The sequence below is a fragment of the Homo sapiens genome, chromosome 7 (genome assembly GCF_000001405.40).
Source record: "Homo sapiens chromosome 7, GRCh38.p14 Primary Assembly".
Lineage (NCBI taxonomy): Eukaryota > Metazoa > Chordata > Mammalia > Primates > Hominidae > Homo > Homo sapiens.
The window spans coordinates 103,234,984-103,252,119 of record NC_000007.14 but is presented as its reverse complement, the minus strand read 5'-3'; the positions used below and the strand labels follow the sequence as shown (position 1 = coordinate 103,252,119).

General features: G+C 38.7%; 1 pseudogene across 2 annotated transcripts in view; it reads left to right on the top strand.

Moving 5' to 3' along the window:
- Window positions 1-17,136, top strand: part of DPY19L2P2 (DPY19L2 pseudogene 2) — a 105,454-nt pseudogene that overhangs the window by 28,347 nt on the left and 59,971 nt on the right. Inside the window, exons 7-10 of one of the 2 annotated variants that reach the window (NR_027768.1) lie at window positions 9,074-9,131; window positions 11,467-11,558; window positions 13,249-13,317; window positions 14,265-14,364. The product of NR_027768.1 is annotated as a DPY19L2 pseudogene 2, transcript variant 1 (transcript). The remainder of the gene's footprint in view (window positions 1-9,073; window positions 9,132-11,466; window positions 11,559-13,248; window positions 13,318-14,264; window positions 14,365-17,136) is intronic. The other variant, NR_003561.2, reaches the window with a different exon arrangement.

Sequence of the window (17,136 nt, the reverse complement as noted above, 5' to 3'; positions counted from 1 at the left end):
CTTCAAACTGGAAACAACCCAAATATCCATTAACAGAGAAATGAATACATTTTGGTTTATTAACATGGTGGAACAGTATACAATAATGAGAATGAATGAACTATACAGCTACACACAATATGGTTGAATCTTACAAATATAATTTTGAATGAATGAATCCAGGTACAAAATTTAAAAAAATACTCCATACTTCCATTTGTATGTTGTTTAAAAACAGATTAAAGTAAATCATAGTTTGATATGTATATAGAAATGGTTATGTTGATAATCTCAAAAATCAGGTCAGTAGCTGATTCTTATCTTGGAGGCTGGCAAGTGGAGACTCAGTATAATAATTTCTCTATTTCAGTTAATTATATGGCGACTACATGGACGTTCCTTTTACAATAGTTCTATGAGCTAGAAATGTTATGCACTTTTCTATATGCCATATAGAAAAAATATAAGCTCATTGAAGTATTTTGAGGGAAAAGGATTGCTTTGAGATTGTTTGGGCAGCTTTAAAAATGTTCTATTTTTTTAAAAAAGTTCTGTTTTGGGGCTGGGAGCAGTGGCTCACTCCTGTAATCCCAGCACTTTGGGAGGCCAAGGCGGGCTGATCATGAGGTCAGATCGAGACCAACCTGGCTAACAAGGTGAAACCCTGTCTCTACTAAAAATACAAAAAAATCCAAAAAAAAAAAAAAAATTAGCTGGGCGTGGTGGCGGGCGCCTGTAGTCCCAGCTACTCGGGAGGCTGAGGCAGGAGAATGGCGTGAACCCGGGAGGCGGAGCTTGCAGTGAGCCGACATCGCGCCACTGCACTCCAGCCTGGGCAACAGAGCGAGGCTCAGTCTCAAAACTAAAAATAAAAAAATAAATAAATCAATAAATAAGTTCTGTTTTTGAAAATGGTTTGTATTTATCTTTTTTGTTTTTTCGTATGGAAAATGTTACACAACAATGACTAAAACTTTAAAAATCAGTATATTTCATTAGGAGGGCTACCGAAGAGGTGCTATTCTCTCTAAATTGGTTATATAGTCCTGGAATATAAAATACAATATTAGGCTCTATCTAGTCTTTAAGAAGGATATACAGAGTCAACCAATATTGACTGTAGAGGTGTCATCAAAACTGTGAGGAGATTGGAAACTGGCATTTGAGGAACAAAAGAAATAGAAATTTGGGGAAAACTTTTGTATTTGTTACCATGGCTACCCTCCCCACTGACACTAACTGGGAAGGTAGATATTCTACTTCCATTCTTTTGGTGACTAACCATAAAATTTTAACATACAGATATGATTTGTTCAAGTATAAAATACATTGATATCTTTCCCGTTTTTCCAATCAAACAAGGAATCTTGGAATGCTTTTCTTCAAAACATCCTCTCTTTTTTTTAATTATTATTATACTTTTAAGTTCTAGGGTACATGTGCACAACGTTCAGGTTTGTTACATATGTATACTTGTGCCATGTTGGTGTGCTGCACCCAATAACTTGTCATTTACATTAGGTATATCTCCTAATGCTATCCCTCCTCCCTCCCCCCACCCCATGACAGGCCCCGGTGTGTGATGTTCCCCAAACTGTGTCCAAGTGTTCTCATTGTTCAATTCCCACCTATGAGTGAGAACATGCGGTGTTTGGTTTTCTGTCCTTGTGACAGTTTGCTCAGAATGATGGTTTCCAGCTTCATCCATGTCCCTACAAAGGATGTGAACTCATCATTTTTTATGGCTGCATAGTATTCCATGGTGTATATGTGCCACATTTTCTTAATCCAGTCTATCATTGATGGACATTTGGGGTGGTTTCAAGTCTTTGCTATTGTGAATAGTGCCACAATAATCATATGTGTGCATGTGTCTTTATAGCAGCATGATTTATAATCCTTTGGGTATATACCCAGTAACGGGATGGCTGGGTCAAATGGTATTTCTAGTTCTAGATCTTTGAGGAATTGCCACACTGTCTTCCACAGTGGTTGAACTACTTTACAGTCCCACCAACAGTGTAAAAGTGTTCCTATTTCTCCACATCCTCTCCAGCACCTGTTGTTTCCTGACTTTTTAATGATTGCCATTCTAACTGGTGTGAAATGGTATCTCATTGTGGTTTTGATTTGCAGTTCTCTGATGGCCAGTGATGTGAGCATTTTTTCATGTGTCTGTTGGCTGCATAAATGTCTTCTTTTGAGAAGTGTCTGTTCATATCCTTCGTCTACTTTTTGATGGAGTTGTTTGATTTTTTTCTTATAAATTTGTCTAAGTTCTTTGCAGATTCTGGATATTAGCCCTTTGTCAGATAAGTAGATTGTAAAAATCTTCCCCCATTCTGTAGGTTGCCTGTTCACTCTGATGGTAGTTTCTTTTGCTGTGCAGAAGCTCTTTAGTTTAATTAGATCCCATTTGTCAATTTTGGCTTTTGTTGCCATTGCTTTTGGTGTTTTAGTCATGAAGTCCTTGCCCATGCCTATGTCCTCAATGGTATTGCCTAGGTTTTCTTCTAGGGTTGTTATGGTTTTAGGTCTAACATTTAAGTTTTTAATCCATCTTGAATTAATTTTTGTAAAAGGTGTAAGGAAGGGATTCAGTTTCAGCTTTCTACATATGGCTAGCCAGTTTTCCCAGCACCATTTGTTAAATAGGGAATCCTTTCCCCATTGCTTGTTTTTCTCAGGTTTGTCAAAGATCAGATGGTTGTAGATGTGTGGTATTATGTCTTAGGGCTCTGTTCTGTTCCATTGGTCTATATCTCAGTTTTGGTACCAGTACCATGCTGTTTTGGTTACTGTAGCCTTGTAGTATAGTTTGAAGTCAGGTAGTGTGATGTCTCCAGCTTTGTTCTTTTTGCTTAGGATTGTCTTGGCAATGCGGGCTCTTTTTTGGTTCCATATGAATTTTAAAGTAGTTTTTTCCAATTCTGTGAAGAAAGTCATTGGTAGCTTGCTGGGGATGGCATTGAATCTATAAATTACCTTGGGCAGTATGGCAATTTTCACGATATTGATCCTTCCTATCCAGGAGCATGGTATGCTCTTCCATTTGTTTGTGTCCTCTTTTATTTCATTGAGCAGTGGTTTGTAGTTCTCCTTGAAGAGGTCCTTCACTTCCCTTGTACGTTGGATTCGTAGGTATTCTCTTTGAAACAATTGTGAATGGGAGTTCACTCATGATTTGGCTCTCTGTTTGTCTGTTAGTGGTGTATAGGAATGGTTGTGATTTTTGCACATTGATTTTGTATCCTGAGACTGCTGAAGTTGCCTATCAGCTTAAGGAGATTTTGGGCTGAGATGATAGGGTTTTCTAAATATACAATCATCTCATCTGCAAACAGGGACAATTTGACTTCCTCTTTTCCTAATTGAATACATTTTATTTCTTTCTCTTGCCTGATTGCCCTGGCCAGAACTTCCAACACTATGTTGAAGAGGAGTGGTGAGAGAGGGCATCCCTGTCTTGTGCTGGTTTTCAAAGGGAATGCTTCCAGTTTTTGCCCATTCAGTATGATATTGGCTGTGGGTTTGTCATAAATAGCTCTTATTATTTTGAGATACATCCCATCAATACCTAGTTTATTGAGAGTGTTTAGCATGAAGGGCTGTGGAATTTTGTCGAAGGCCTTTTCTGCACCTATTGAGATAATCATGTGGTTTTTGTCTTTGGTTCTGTTTATATGATGGATTACCTTTATTGATTTGCGTATGATGAACCAGCCTTGCATCCCAGGGATGAAGCCCACTTGATCATGGTGGATAAGCTTTTTGATGTGCTGCTGGATTCGGTTTGCCAGTATTTTATTGAGGATTTTTGCATCAATGTTCATCAGGGATATTGGTCTAAAATTCTCTTTTTTTTATTGTGTCTCTGCCAGACTTTGGTATCAGGATGATGCTGGCCTCATAAAATGAGTTAGGGAGGATTCCCTCTTTTTCTATTGATTGGAATAGTTTCCTAAGCAATGGTACCAGCTCCTCCATTTACCTCTGGTAGAATTGGGCTGTGAATCTGTCTGGTCCTGGACTTTTTTTGGTTGATAGGCTATTAATTATTGCCTCAATTTCAGAGCCTGTTATTGGTCTATTCAGAGATTCAACTTCTTCCTGGTTTAGTCTTGGGAGGGTGTATATTTCCAGGAATTTATCCATTTCTTCTAGATTTTCTAGTTTATTTGCATAGAGGTGTTTATAGTATTCTCTGATGGTAGTTTGTATTTCTGAGGGATCGGTGGTGATATCCCCTTTATCATTTTTTATTGCATCTATTTGATTCGTCTCTCTTTTCTTCTTTATTAGTCATGCTAGCGGTCTATCAATTTTGTTGATCTTTCCAAAAAACCAGCTCCTGGATTCATTGATTTTTTGAAGGGTTTTTGTGTCTCTATCTCCTTCAGTTCTGCTCTGATATTAGTTATTTCTTGCTTTCTGCTAGCTTTTGAATGTGTTTGCTCTTGCTTCTCTAGTTCTTTTAATTGTGATGTTAGGGTGTCAATTTTAGATCTGTCCTGCTTTCTCTTGTGGGCATTTAGTGCTATAAATTTCCCTCTACACACTGCTTTGAATGTGTCCCAGAGATTCTAGTATGTTGTGTCTTTGTTCTCATTGGTTTCAAAGAACATCTTTATTTCTGCCTTCATTTCATTATGTACCCAGTAGTCACTCAGGATCAGGTTATTCAGTTTCCATGTAGTTGAGCAGTTTTGAGTGAGTTTATTAATCCTGAGTTCTAGTTTGATTGTGCTGCCGTCTGAGAGACAGTTTGTTATAATTTCTGTTCTTTTACATTTGCTGAGGAGTGCTTTACTTCCAACTATGTGGTCAATTTTGGAATAAGTGCGGCGTGGTGCTGAGAAGAATCTATATTCTGTTGATTTCGGATGGAGAGTTCTGTAGATGTCTATTAGGTCTGCTTGGTGCAGAGCTGAGTTCAATTCCTTGGTATCCTTGTTGACTTTCTGTCTCGTTGATCTGTCTAATGTTGACAGTGGGGTGTTAAAGTCTCCCATTATTATTGTGTGGGAGTCTAAGTATCTTTGTAGGTCACTCAGGACTTGCTTTATGAATCTGGGTGCTCCTGTATTGGGTGCATATATATTTAGGATAGTTAGCTCTTCTTGTTGAATTGATCCCTTTACCATTATGTAATTACCTTCTTTGTCTCTTTTGATCTTTGTTGGTTTAAAGTCTCTTTTATCAGAGACTAGGATTGCAACCCCTGCCTTTTTTTGTTTTCCATTTGCTTGGTAGACCTTCCTCCATCCCTTTATTTTGAGCCTGTGTGTGTCTCTGCGTGTGAGATGGGCTTCCTGAATACAGCACACTGATGGGTCTTGACTCTTGATCCAATTTGCCAGTCTGTGTCTTTTAATTGGAGCATTTAGCCCATTTACATTTAAGGTTAATATTGTTATGTGTGAATTTGATCCTGTCGTTATGATGTTAGCTGGTTATTTTGCTCGTTACTTGATGCAGTTTCTTCCTAGCCTTGATGTTCTTTACAATTTGGCTTGTTTTTGCAGTGGCTGGTACCAGTTGTTCCTTTCCATATTTAGTGCTTCCTTCAGGAGCTCTTTTAGGGCAGGCCTGGTGGTGACAAAATCTCTCAGCATTTGCTTGTCTGTAAAGGATTTTATTTCTCCTTCACTTACGAAGCTTAGTTTGGCTGGATATGAAATTCTGGGTTGAAAATTCTTTTCTTTAAGAATGTTGAATATTGGCCCGCATTCACTTCTGGCTTGTAGAGTTTCTGCTGAGAGATCCGCTGTTAGTCTCATGGGCTTCCCTTTGTGGGTAACCTGACCTTTCTCTCTGGCTGCCCTTAACAATTTTTCCTGCATTTCCATTTTGGTGAATCTGACAATTCTGTGTCTTGGAGTTGCTCTTCTCGAGGAGTATCTTTGTGGCATTCTCTGTATTTCCTGAATTTGAGTGTTGGCCTGCCTTGCTAGACTGGGGAAGTTCTCCTGGATAATATCCTGCAGAGTGTTTTCCAACTTGGTTCCATTCTCCCTGTCACTTTCAGGTACACCAATCAGATGTAGATTTGGTCTTTTCACATAGTCCCATATTTCTTGGAGGCTTTGTTCGTTTCTTTTTATTGTTTTTTCTCTAAACTTCTCTTCTCGCTTCATTTCATTCATTTGATTGTCCATCACTGATACCCTTTCTTCCAGTTGATCGAATTGGCTACTGAGGCTTGTGCATTCGTCATGTAGTTCTCGTGCCTTGGTTTTCAGCTCCATCAGGTCCTTTAAGGACTCCTCTGCATTGGTTATTCTAGTTAGCCATTCGTCTAATTTTTTTTTCAAGGTTTTTAACTTCTTTGCCATGGGTTCAAACTCCCTTTAGCTCAGAGTAGTTCGATCATCTGAAGCCTTCTTCTCTCAACTCGTCAAAGTCATTCTCCATCCAGCTTTGTTCCGTTGCTGGTGAGGAGCAGCGTTCCTTTGGAGGAGGAGAGGCACTCTGATTTTTAGGGTTTTCAGTTTTTCTGCTCTGTTTTTTTCCCCATCTTTGTGGTTTTATTTACCTTTGGTCTTTGATGATGGTGACGTACAGATGGGGTTTTGGTGTGGATGTCCTTTCTGTTTGTTAGTTTTCCTTCTAACAGTCAGGACCCTCAGCTGCAGGTCTGTTGGAGTTTGCTGGAGGTCCACTCCAGACCCTGTTTGCGTGGGTATCAGCAGTGGATGCTGCAGAACAGTGGATATTGGTGAACAGCAAGTGTTGCTGCCTGATCATTCCTCTGGAAGTTTTGTCTCAGAGGAGTACCCGGCTGTGTGAGGTGTCAGTCTGCCCCTACTGGGGGTGCCTCCCAGTTATGCTACTCGGAGGTCAGGGATCCACTTGAGGAGGCAGTCTGTCTGTTCTCAGATCTCCAGCTGCGTACTGGGAGAACCGCTACTCTCTTCAAAGCTGTCAGACAGAGACATTTAAGTCTGCAGAGGATTCTGCTGCCTTTTGTTTGGCAATGTCCTGCCCCCAGAGGTGGAGTCTACAGAGGCAGGCAGGCCTCCTTGAGCTGCGGGAGGCTCCACCCAGTTCGAGCTTCCTGGCTGCTTTGTTTACCTACTCAAGCCTTGGCAATGGCAGGCGCCCCTCCCCCATCCTGGCTGCCGCCTTGCAGTTTGATCTCAGACTGCTGTGCTAGCAATGAGGGAGGCTCCGTGGGCATAGGACCCTCTGAGCCAGGTGCGGGATATAATCTCCTGGTGTGCCATTTACTAAGACCACTGGAAAAGCGCAGTATTAGGGTGGGAGTGACCCAATTTTCCAGGTGCCTTCTGTCACCCCTTTCTTTGATTAGGAAAGGGAATTCCCTGATCCCTTGCGCTTCCCGGGTGAGGCAATGCCTAGCCCTGCTTCAGCTCATGCTCGGTGCACTGCACCCACTGTCCTGCACCCACTTTCCGACAATCCCCAGTGAGATGAACACAGTACCTCAGTTGGAAATGCAGAAATCACCCGTCTTCTGCATCGCTCATGCTGGGAGCTGTAGACTGGAGCTGTTCCCATTCGGCCATCTTGGCTCCACCCCCCGCCAACTCATCTTACTTTGATTTATCCACATTTCCTCAGTTCCTCCATGTACAATTGGTCCTTGCTGCTCACACATTCTTTCTTTCAATTTCTTCCTCTTTGAAGTTCATCCTTTGTATTTTCTGTGTGAAGCTTTATTAAATGGTAAATCATTTCCCATGAGCCTTCCTCTGCTGTTTTCTTCCTTTCTTTCTTCATTAATTCAACCAATATTTATTAATCTTCCAAGTGTGAAGCTGGGGATATAGCAATGAACAAGACAGATAAAGAACCTGTCCCTGTCCTCATGGTGCTTAGAATGTGTTAGACTAGGGAAGTGGTGTATGGAGAAAAGATAAATGGAAGCATAGAAACACTATACAGATGTGGGATTGAGCATCTGCATTCTTATACACAGACATGATCACAAAAAGGCAATTTAAGAAATGGTTTTTGGCCGGGTGCGGTGGCTCACGCCTGTAATCCCAGCACTTTGGGAGGCTGAGGCGGCTGGATCACTTGAAGTCAGGAGTTTGAGACCAGCCTGGCCAACATGGCGAAACACCGTCTCTACTAAAAATACAAAAATCAGCCAGGTATGGTGGCATGTGCCTGTAATCCCAGCTACTCGGGAGGCTGAGACAGAAGAATCAGCTTGAACCAGGGAGGCGGAGGTTGCAGTGAACCGAGATCGCGCCACTGCACTCCAGCCTGGGTGACAGAGTGAGACTCTGTCTCAAAACAAAACAAAACAACAACAACAACAACAAAAGAAATGGTTTTTATCTTTCATCTGATTTTTGTATTCTGCATTATTGCTTCTCTGGGACTCAAGTAAAGAATATTTGCAGTAGTTTAGATAGTTCTAAGTTAATGCTACATGAAACTGTTAGAATGTTGTCTTCATCTCTCAGTCCCTTAAATCCAATTTCAAAAGATAAAAATTTGCTTTTGTTCAGAGTGTTCAAAGGATGTGATCTAGACTCTAAAGTGCTAGCCTGTTTCTTAAAAATGATTTTATGTGGCCGGGTGCGGTGGCTCACACCTGTAATCTCAGCACTTTGGGAGGCCGAGGCGGGTGGATCACGAGGTCAGGAGTTCGAGACTAGCTTAGCCAACATGGTGAAACCCTGTCTCTGCTAAAAGTAAAAAAATTAGCCGGGCGTGGCAGCATGCGCCTGTAATCTGAGCTACTCGGGAGCCTGAGGCAGGAGAATCGTTGGAACCCAGGAGGCGGAGGTTGCTGTGAGCCGAGATTTTGCCACTGCACTCCAGCCTGGGCAACAGAGCAAGACCCCATCTCAAAAAAAAAAATTATGTTCACACCTTATGTATTTTATTTAGAAAGTATTTTAGCTATAATAAATTATAAAATTGAGATTAATTTATACATACAGTTTTTAGAATTGTACATTCAGGATTTAAACTTCAACCACATGGGTATGGTTTAGTACTATTATGTTTTAAATATAGAAAACTGTGATTTTAAATTCTGAGGTAATTTTGTGAAAAACTCACTGTATTTTACATGAATTTTGATTGTATACTCTATTTTTTTTTTTTTTTACAGTGGTACTGAACTGGGAGGTCTTATTACAGTACTGTGCTTCTTTTTCAACCATGGAGAGGTTTGTTCTCTAGAAAGCAATTTTTAAGAAATAGAAGAGGCTGTAGAGGAACAAGGAAATATACTCATCAAAAGAATATTTAATTGTATACTACTTATGACTTCACAATATTTTAAAGACCCTTGTGTTATAAGTTGATATTTTAATCATGTTGATTGAAATGTTTAAATAGCTAGAATTTCAAACATGAAATCTCTTGCCTTATTTTTAGTAAATATATACATATGCATATATTCTGTAGAGAAAAGGAAATATTGTACTTGTTGAGTTGAATCATATCATGCACATTATCTGATTTATTCCCACTAAAGTTTTTTTGTGGGTGATGGTAGCCTCGCCATACAAGTTATGAAATTTAAATTTAGAGAAAATTAAGTTACTTATCCACTTTCCACATTTACTACATGATGAAGCTGGATTTCCCATTCTATGTCTGTCTGCCTCTAAAACCTCACATATATATTAATTTATATTTTATAAATTATAAAATTATAGTTATATTTTATAAAAACTTATATATTATATATATATAACATATATATTCAACTTTTTTATTGTGGTCAGAGTAAGTAACATATGATCTGCCCTCTTAACAGATTTTTAAGTGTATAATATAGTATTAACACAATGTTGTATAGCAGATCTCCAGAACTTATTCACCTTGCCTAACTGAAACTTTGTATGCATTGCTCTCCCCTTAACAACAATGAAAGAGGCCTCAGGCCTGACAGCAGGGACACAGTTAAGACACTGCCACCTGCTCCCTCACTTCTTTCTGTTACATCATGCTGTCTGTTCAGTAATGCAAAATGCTGAATTCAAAATAGACATTAACTTACTAATTCAGCCCAGTGAAACATAGTCCACCTAAAAAAGAGCTCATAGAAGCTTATTTCAAATACGATGGATTCATTCAACAAATTATTGAGTACATACCACGTCCATGCTCTGCTAAATGCTGAGGATATGGCAATGAAAAAGAGAGAGATTCTGACTACTAGCTCTTGGGAGCAAAACATTTAATATGTTATGACACAGGTTACATAGGGTAGAAGTATTTTTTTTTTTTTCAAGATGGAGTCTTGCTCTGTCACCCAGGCTGGAGTGCAGTGGCGCGATCTCAGCTCTCTGCAACCTCCGTCTCCCAGGTTCAAGCAATTCTCCTGCCTCAGCCTCCTGAGTAGCTGGCATTACAGGCATGTGCCACCATGCTCAGCTAAATTTTTGTATTTTTAGTAGAGATGGAGTTTCACCATGTTGGCCAGGCTGGTCTCGAACTCCTGACCTCATGATCCACCCGCCTCGGCCTCCCAAAGTACTGGGGATTACAGGCGTGAGCCACCACGCCCAGCCAGGGCAGAAGTACTTTTATCCATTGCTCTTGGGTTAATTTTTAAAAATCAGTTAGATAAAGGAATCATAAAAATTATACATAAAAGCCTTATATATATTATTTTAAAGCAAACAAATGCATTGTCATTCAACAATGTGCTGACCTAAAGACAAAGGTTTTTCTCTGAGTGTTCCAGACAACTGTTGGTATAAGTTGACTTTCTTATATGTATCATAATTCCTCTTCCAACATTTACAATTTTGGTATCTTGGAAGAGAAGCAATAACTTTTAAGACTCTTGCAAAGTAATAAGAGTTCACATTCTTTCTAGAATTTCAGAATTTTTGATGGAAAATTTTTCTAATACTCTGACCCATATGTCTTAGAAGTAATTTTAAAGTTTGTTTGAAAATTTAATACTTTCATTACATGCATCACATTTGTAGTTCCCAAATACTTCTAGTTGTTTTTAAAATATGTACTTAACCTTTTTTAAGGTACATTTTACAAATTCTGAGGCAATCGTAGCTATTCGAAGTGTGTATTTATATTCTTTCATACTTGTTATGTAGAAACTCTCTTGGTGCTTGCGAATGACCTAGGTGACATTCGTTTAGCTATTTGTCTTGGCATGCATATATCTCAAAGCCTGGGATGCCAGGATCATATGCCAGGATCATACTGCAGGGCTGGGCTGTGGATCTAGTTGGTCAGTCCCAGAATTCTCACAACTCTTATACGTACAATCTTGTTTGTCCCTTGGGCTTCCTTTTGCTCGGTCTGATATATCTGTAGCTGGTTTCTGGACATGGTAGTTAACTGCTCACTACATAATGGTCTCATGAGTTGAGAGAGCTTCAAAAACTGAGAAGCTATGCCAGACACTCAGAAATGGGATCTAGTGAGCCTAGTATTAAAATTACTAAAACAAACTCACCCCTCGTTTTTTAATATGTTTGTTGTAGTAAACAGGATGTAAAGTGGGCATTTTGTTGATTTCAGGCCACCTGTGTGATGTGGACACCACCTCTCCGTGAAAGTTTTTCCTATCCTTTCCTTGTACTTCAGATGTATGTTTTAACTTTGATTCTCAGGTAACTTCGATTTATAAAACAAAGGCAAATAAATTATAATTTAAGTTTCTTAAAATATACTTCAATTCAGCACTTTGGGAGGCCGAGGTGGGTGGATCGCTTGAGATCAGGAGTTCGAGACCAGCCTGGCCAACATGGTGAAACCTCATCTCTACTAAAATACAAAAATTAGCCGGGCATGGTGGTGTGCATCTGCCATCCCAGCTACTTGGGAGGCTGAGGCAGGAGAATTGCTTGAACTCGGGAGGCGGAGGTTTCAGTGAGCCGAGATTGTGCCACTGCACTCCAGCCTGGGCAAGAGAGCAAGACTCCCTCTAAAAAAATGTAAATATATATATTACATATATATACTTCAATCTATGAAGTTGTAATTACCAAATTTAGACCATTTTTTAGTTATTTTAAAAGTAAATTGAGTATAGGGTTAAGAAAATAATTCAAAATTGCTATGTAAAAATTGCTCTCCGTTTAAGAGTGTAGGCTACAGGTTTTAGATAACTACATTATGTTTTAATAAACCAAAAGGTATGTGTTTGTATATAGTTTGCCAAGATTCAAAAGTTTTTGAGAAACAATTACATTTTCTCTTCACAGTTTAAGTTCTCTGACATTGTTTTCTAACCTGTGGTTTTGATAACTGCCATGAAAAAAGTGTTCTGTGTGCAAATGAATTTGGGAAATGCAGAGTTAGATGGATAAGGAGTATATATATTCACATATTTATGAAGCATTTCTGAACAACCAATGTTTCTAACAGGACAACCAGTTTCATTTCAAACTTTTTTTTTTGGATACACTTTTTTTGTAGGGATTACATTTATAAGCATTTTAGATATTTAAGAGGTCTGAGAAATGAACAAAAAACCCCATAAGTGGTAGAATAGTATAAATAACCTTATCAGAGAAATAAGTTTGATAGAATACTAATGAGAACTCTCACTGAATGAAATAATGATCACTATCTCCTCCAAACTCCCAGAGGACCCCATTCTTCACCTACTAGTCCCTGGGAGATTCTGCCTTCTATAAAAATCATTTGTTTGTCTTCCTTGTTTTTTAAAACAGTAAATTTATGAATCTTCCACAATACACAAATTTTTATTTATTTATTTAGAGATGAGGTCTTGCTCTGTCACCCAGGCTGGAGTGCAGTGGCACGATCTGCTCACTGCAACCTCTGCTTCCCAGGTTCAAGCGATTCTCCTGCCTCAGCCTCCCAAGTAGCTGGGATTATAGGTGCACGCCACCATCCCCAGCTAATTTTTGTATTTTTAGTAGAGGCAGGGTTTTACCATGTTGGCCAGGCTGGTCTCGAACTCCTGACCTCAAGTGATCCACCCGCTTCAGCCTCCCTAAGTGCTGGGATTACAGGTGTGAGCCACTGTGCCTGGCCAATTACATGTATTTAAAAGTACCACTGTACTTTTAAACAGGGACCATGCCATATTTATCTCTTTAACCACAGAACACTGCACACGTCCATGCAAATATTTGTGGCACTCAGATAAAGCTAATTGAAGGGTGGTAAATAGTAGTGTACTGGGGTGGCACAAACCTTGAGAATGGAGCAGGCCAACTTCTGATTTCTTACCAACCTGACAAGTATATTCTGGGGTTGAATTTGGATTTAGGAACCTCCTCCTCACTGAGATTTCTATATCTTTGCTCTACACTTTGCCTTCTCTCAAAGATTAGGTGATGGAAGCTGCCCATTCTTCATCACCCCTTGCTACTCATTCCCAGTTTAATTCCTAGAAAGGTGGGTTATTTTTATTTTTTTGAAGTGATATCAGTCTGGTCAGTCAGGGGTTTCATGGAATAAAATGTCTTAATTAGAATATTTAGGGTTGTATCATTGAGGGCATGTGCTATACTCTGTGTCTTAGTCAAAAGTAATTTTTGTTTGAAAAATATAAGATTACAAAGTACATAATGAGTATTTTATGATAAGATTAGTAAGCAATATGAACATTTAGAATTTTGTTTTTGAAAATTTATATATGATTGTACAAAGATTCATCAAAATCCAGTACAGAATTTATAAAAGGAAGAGTTACAGTTTTATTATTTATGTAAAATGTTTGTGTTTCTTTTTTCATATCTAAAAGTTACTGTAATTCTCTGTGGTAAAAGGTATTGGTTCCCAATACATCTCAGTAATGCAGAATGGACAATTTAAACTTCCACATGCTTCAGCTGAATTCTAGAATGATTTTTTAATTTTTTAAGATTCCTTTTCCTTAAATTTTTCCCATAGTTTTTAACTTATTACTTTGTCAGCACTTACATTTCTCTTCAATGTTTTTTGAAGCACAAAAGTGGTGGTATATAAAAGTTGTTGCTACACATACAGGAGAAGCATGTTGAGGTGTGCAGGGACAGCACCACATCCTATTTTCTGACCTCCTTGCTGGAGTAATAAATTTCTAATGTCATGCATATGTAGAGGAAAAAGAGCTTTTGTATTTAAAATATTTAATGGTAAATTACAATGTTAATTTTAAAACTCTAATTTTGATTGCTTCATGCAAGGAATGAAGTATTTCAAGTTCTTTTTAGTATACTTTACAAAGTTAACTATATTTTGTTGTATTATAGTAAAGGTAATGGAATAATGTAGATTTTATCATTTTGCTATTAGTCTTTCTTTTCAGCGACAGCCCATTTTTAGGGTGAAACTTACTGGTATCAATTCTCTCTATTAAGGACCTCAAGCAATGATAGAAGGCCCTTCATTGCACTCTGTCTTTCCAATGTTGCTTTTATGCTTCCCTGGCAATTTGCTCAGTTTATACTTTTTACACAGGTAAGATGATTTTTTAAATTAATTTTTATTTTTATTTTAAGTTCTGGGGTACATGTGCGGGATGTACAGGTTTGTTACGTAGGTAAATGTATGCCATGGTGGTTTTTGCATCTATCAACCCATCACCTAGGTATTAAGCCCAGCATGCATTAGCTGTTTTTCCTAATGTTTTCCCCACCCCATCCCTTGACAGGCCCCAGTGTGTGTTGTTCCTCTCCCTGTGTCCATGTATTCTCATTGTTCAGCTCCCACTTATAAGTGAGAACATGTGGTGTTTGGTTTTCTGTTCCTGTTGCTGAGGATAATGGCCTCCAGCTCCATTCATGTCCCTGCAAAGGACCTGATCTTGTTCCTTTTTATGGCTACGTAGTATTCCATGGTGTATATGTGCCACATTTTCTTTATCCAGTCTTTCACTGATGGGCGTTTGGGTTAATTCCATGTCTTTGCTATTGTGAATAGTGCTGCAGCGAAGACATGGGTGCACATGTCTTTGTAATAGAAGGATTTATATTCCTTTGCATATATTAATTAAATTGAATGCAAGATGTACTTGGTTGTTTCCATAGAAATTTTTAAATATGGTTACATTTACGCCCTAAAAGATTTTCAAAATAGGAAATAAAGTTTACTTAAAGGTATGATTTTTATGAAATAATATAATTCCACATTCTTTTACTATATTGATTAGTTTGACAGATTTTAAGGCTCAACATGTGAAAGAGTTTTTCTATTATTTTTATTCACAAATGTTATTTTTGGTGTTTGAGATAATATCTGTATATATCTACCTAGAGATTTTCCTTTTGTCCTGGGAATCCTTCTGGGTGCCAAGCTACACAGCATGCTAAGGGCCAATCCTACTCTTGACAGCAGGACGTTCTGCTTCTAATCCAGCTAAACGTTGGCTGTTTTATCTGTGGAGCAGAATTTTACCTGGCACCGTTTCTGCGAGCTTTAATCATAAAGCTCATCATTGCTTAAGTGAGCTGAGCCCATATCCTGTTTCTAAAGCAACTACATAACTAGTAACAAGAAACTGAACTGGGGAAGCAGAGAGTAAATGGAGAATTTTGATGACATTTCATGATACTAAGATTTTCCATCAGAGCTCCTTCCTACATAACAAATGCTGATGATAATAATAATATTCTATATTGGAAGTGAGAAATTCTGCCAAGAAGTCTCATGCTGCCAATAGCCTACAAAGAATGAAATTATAACCCCAGCTCAATTGGTGCTGCATATTTAAAGTATTCCCTCTGTTTTACTTCATAATAGTTGGCCCCTTTCAGGTTATAACACAGACATTATTCTATGTTTTTCATTATTTGCACATGCCAACAGAGTGGAATAGATTTTTAATGACCATCATTTCATTGCAAGCAAATTTATTAATCCAGTGATACTGATGAAACTAAGAAGCTCTTTGGGGCCGGGCGCGATGGCTCACGCCTGTAATCCCAGAACTTTGGGAGGCTGAGGCGGGTGGATCACTTGAGGTCAGGAGTTCAAGACCAGCCTGGCCAAGATGGTGAAACCCCATCTCTACTAAAAATACAAAAAAATTAGCCGAGCATGGTGGTGGGCTCCTGTAATCTTGGGAGGCTGAGGCAGAGAATTGCTTGAACCCAGGAGGTGGAGGTTGCAGTGAGCCGAGATCACGCTACTGCACTCCAGCCTGGGTGACAGAGTGAGACTCAGTTTAAAAAAAAAAAAAAAGAAGTTATTGGGTAAGTTTGATATTGCTGTTAATGATTTCCTAGTCATTCTCTGGATATATACTAGGCTTTTATTTTTCTTTACTAATGTGTATAGTTTTTTTTGTATGTGTGTGTTTCATGCTTACAGAGGGATAATTCAATGTTATTTTCTGGGAGTACTTTAAGATTTTATTCTTAATTGTGTTTTTCGTAGATTAAGGTTAAAATTAGTTCATTGTGCAACCACATCTGGTTAATTTTTTAATTTTTTGTAGGGATGAGGTATCACCATCTTGCCCAGGCTGCTCTTGAACTCCTGGGCTCAAGCCGTCCTCCTATCTTGGCCTCCCAAAATGCTGGGATTATAGGCGTGAGCCACCATGCCTGGCCCAATTTTTTTTTTTTATGACTTCTGTGCTCTCCTGGAATTTTCAATCTTATCAGTTATTTCCTTGAACATTTGAAGCATAGTTTGAAGATATATCTGATTATGCCAGAGAAGTGTTTGAGTGATCTCCAAGCTAAGAATAGTTTTTATATATTTAGAGGGTTATAGAACAAAAATAGAAAAAGAATATACAAGAGACTGTATGTGACCAACAAAGCATAACATATTTATTATCTGGCCTTTTATATAATAAATGTGCTGATCCCTGATCTAAATCTTTTGTGGATCTATTTCTATTGTGTTAGTGATAGTGTCTTATCTCCATCTATGCTGGGTTATTTTTGATGTGGTGCTGGACATTATATATGAAAAATTGGAGAGGCGAGTAAAAAGCACTAATAAATCTTGAACCACCTTTATGCAATCAGATTGAGATGATCCGTAGATGCGTTTCAGTCTTTCTGAGGGCTGCTTGATTTCTGGTTCACTATTACAGTATGGCCTTTTGAAACTCCAAACTAAAGCACCCTTCTTGGTGCACTCTGACTGCTGAATCTGCTGAAATGCCTGCTCAGCTTGTTGGTCTTCCAACTGCCTCTCAGCTGGCAGGCATCTGCCTCTGTTGAAATTGGCAGATACCTCTGGGAGAAAAGTGGCCCAAAATGTCATGCTCATTGGTAT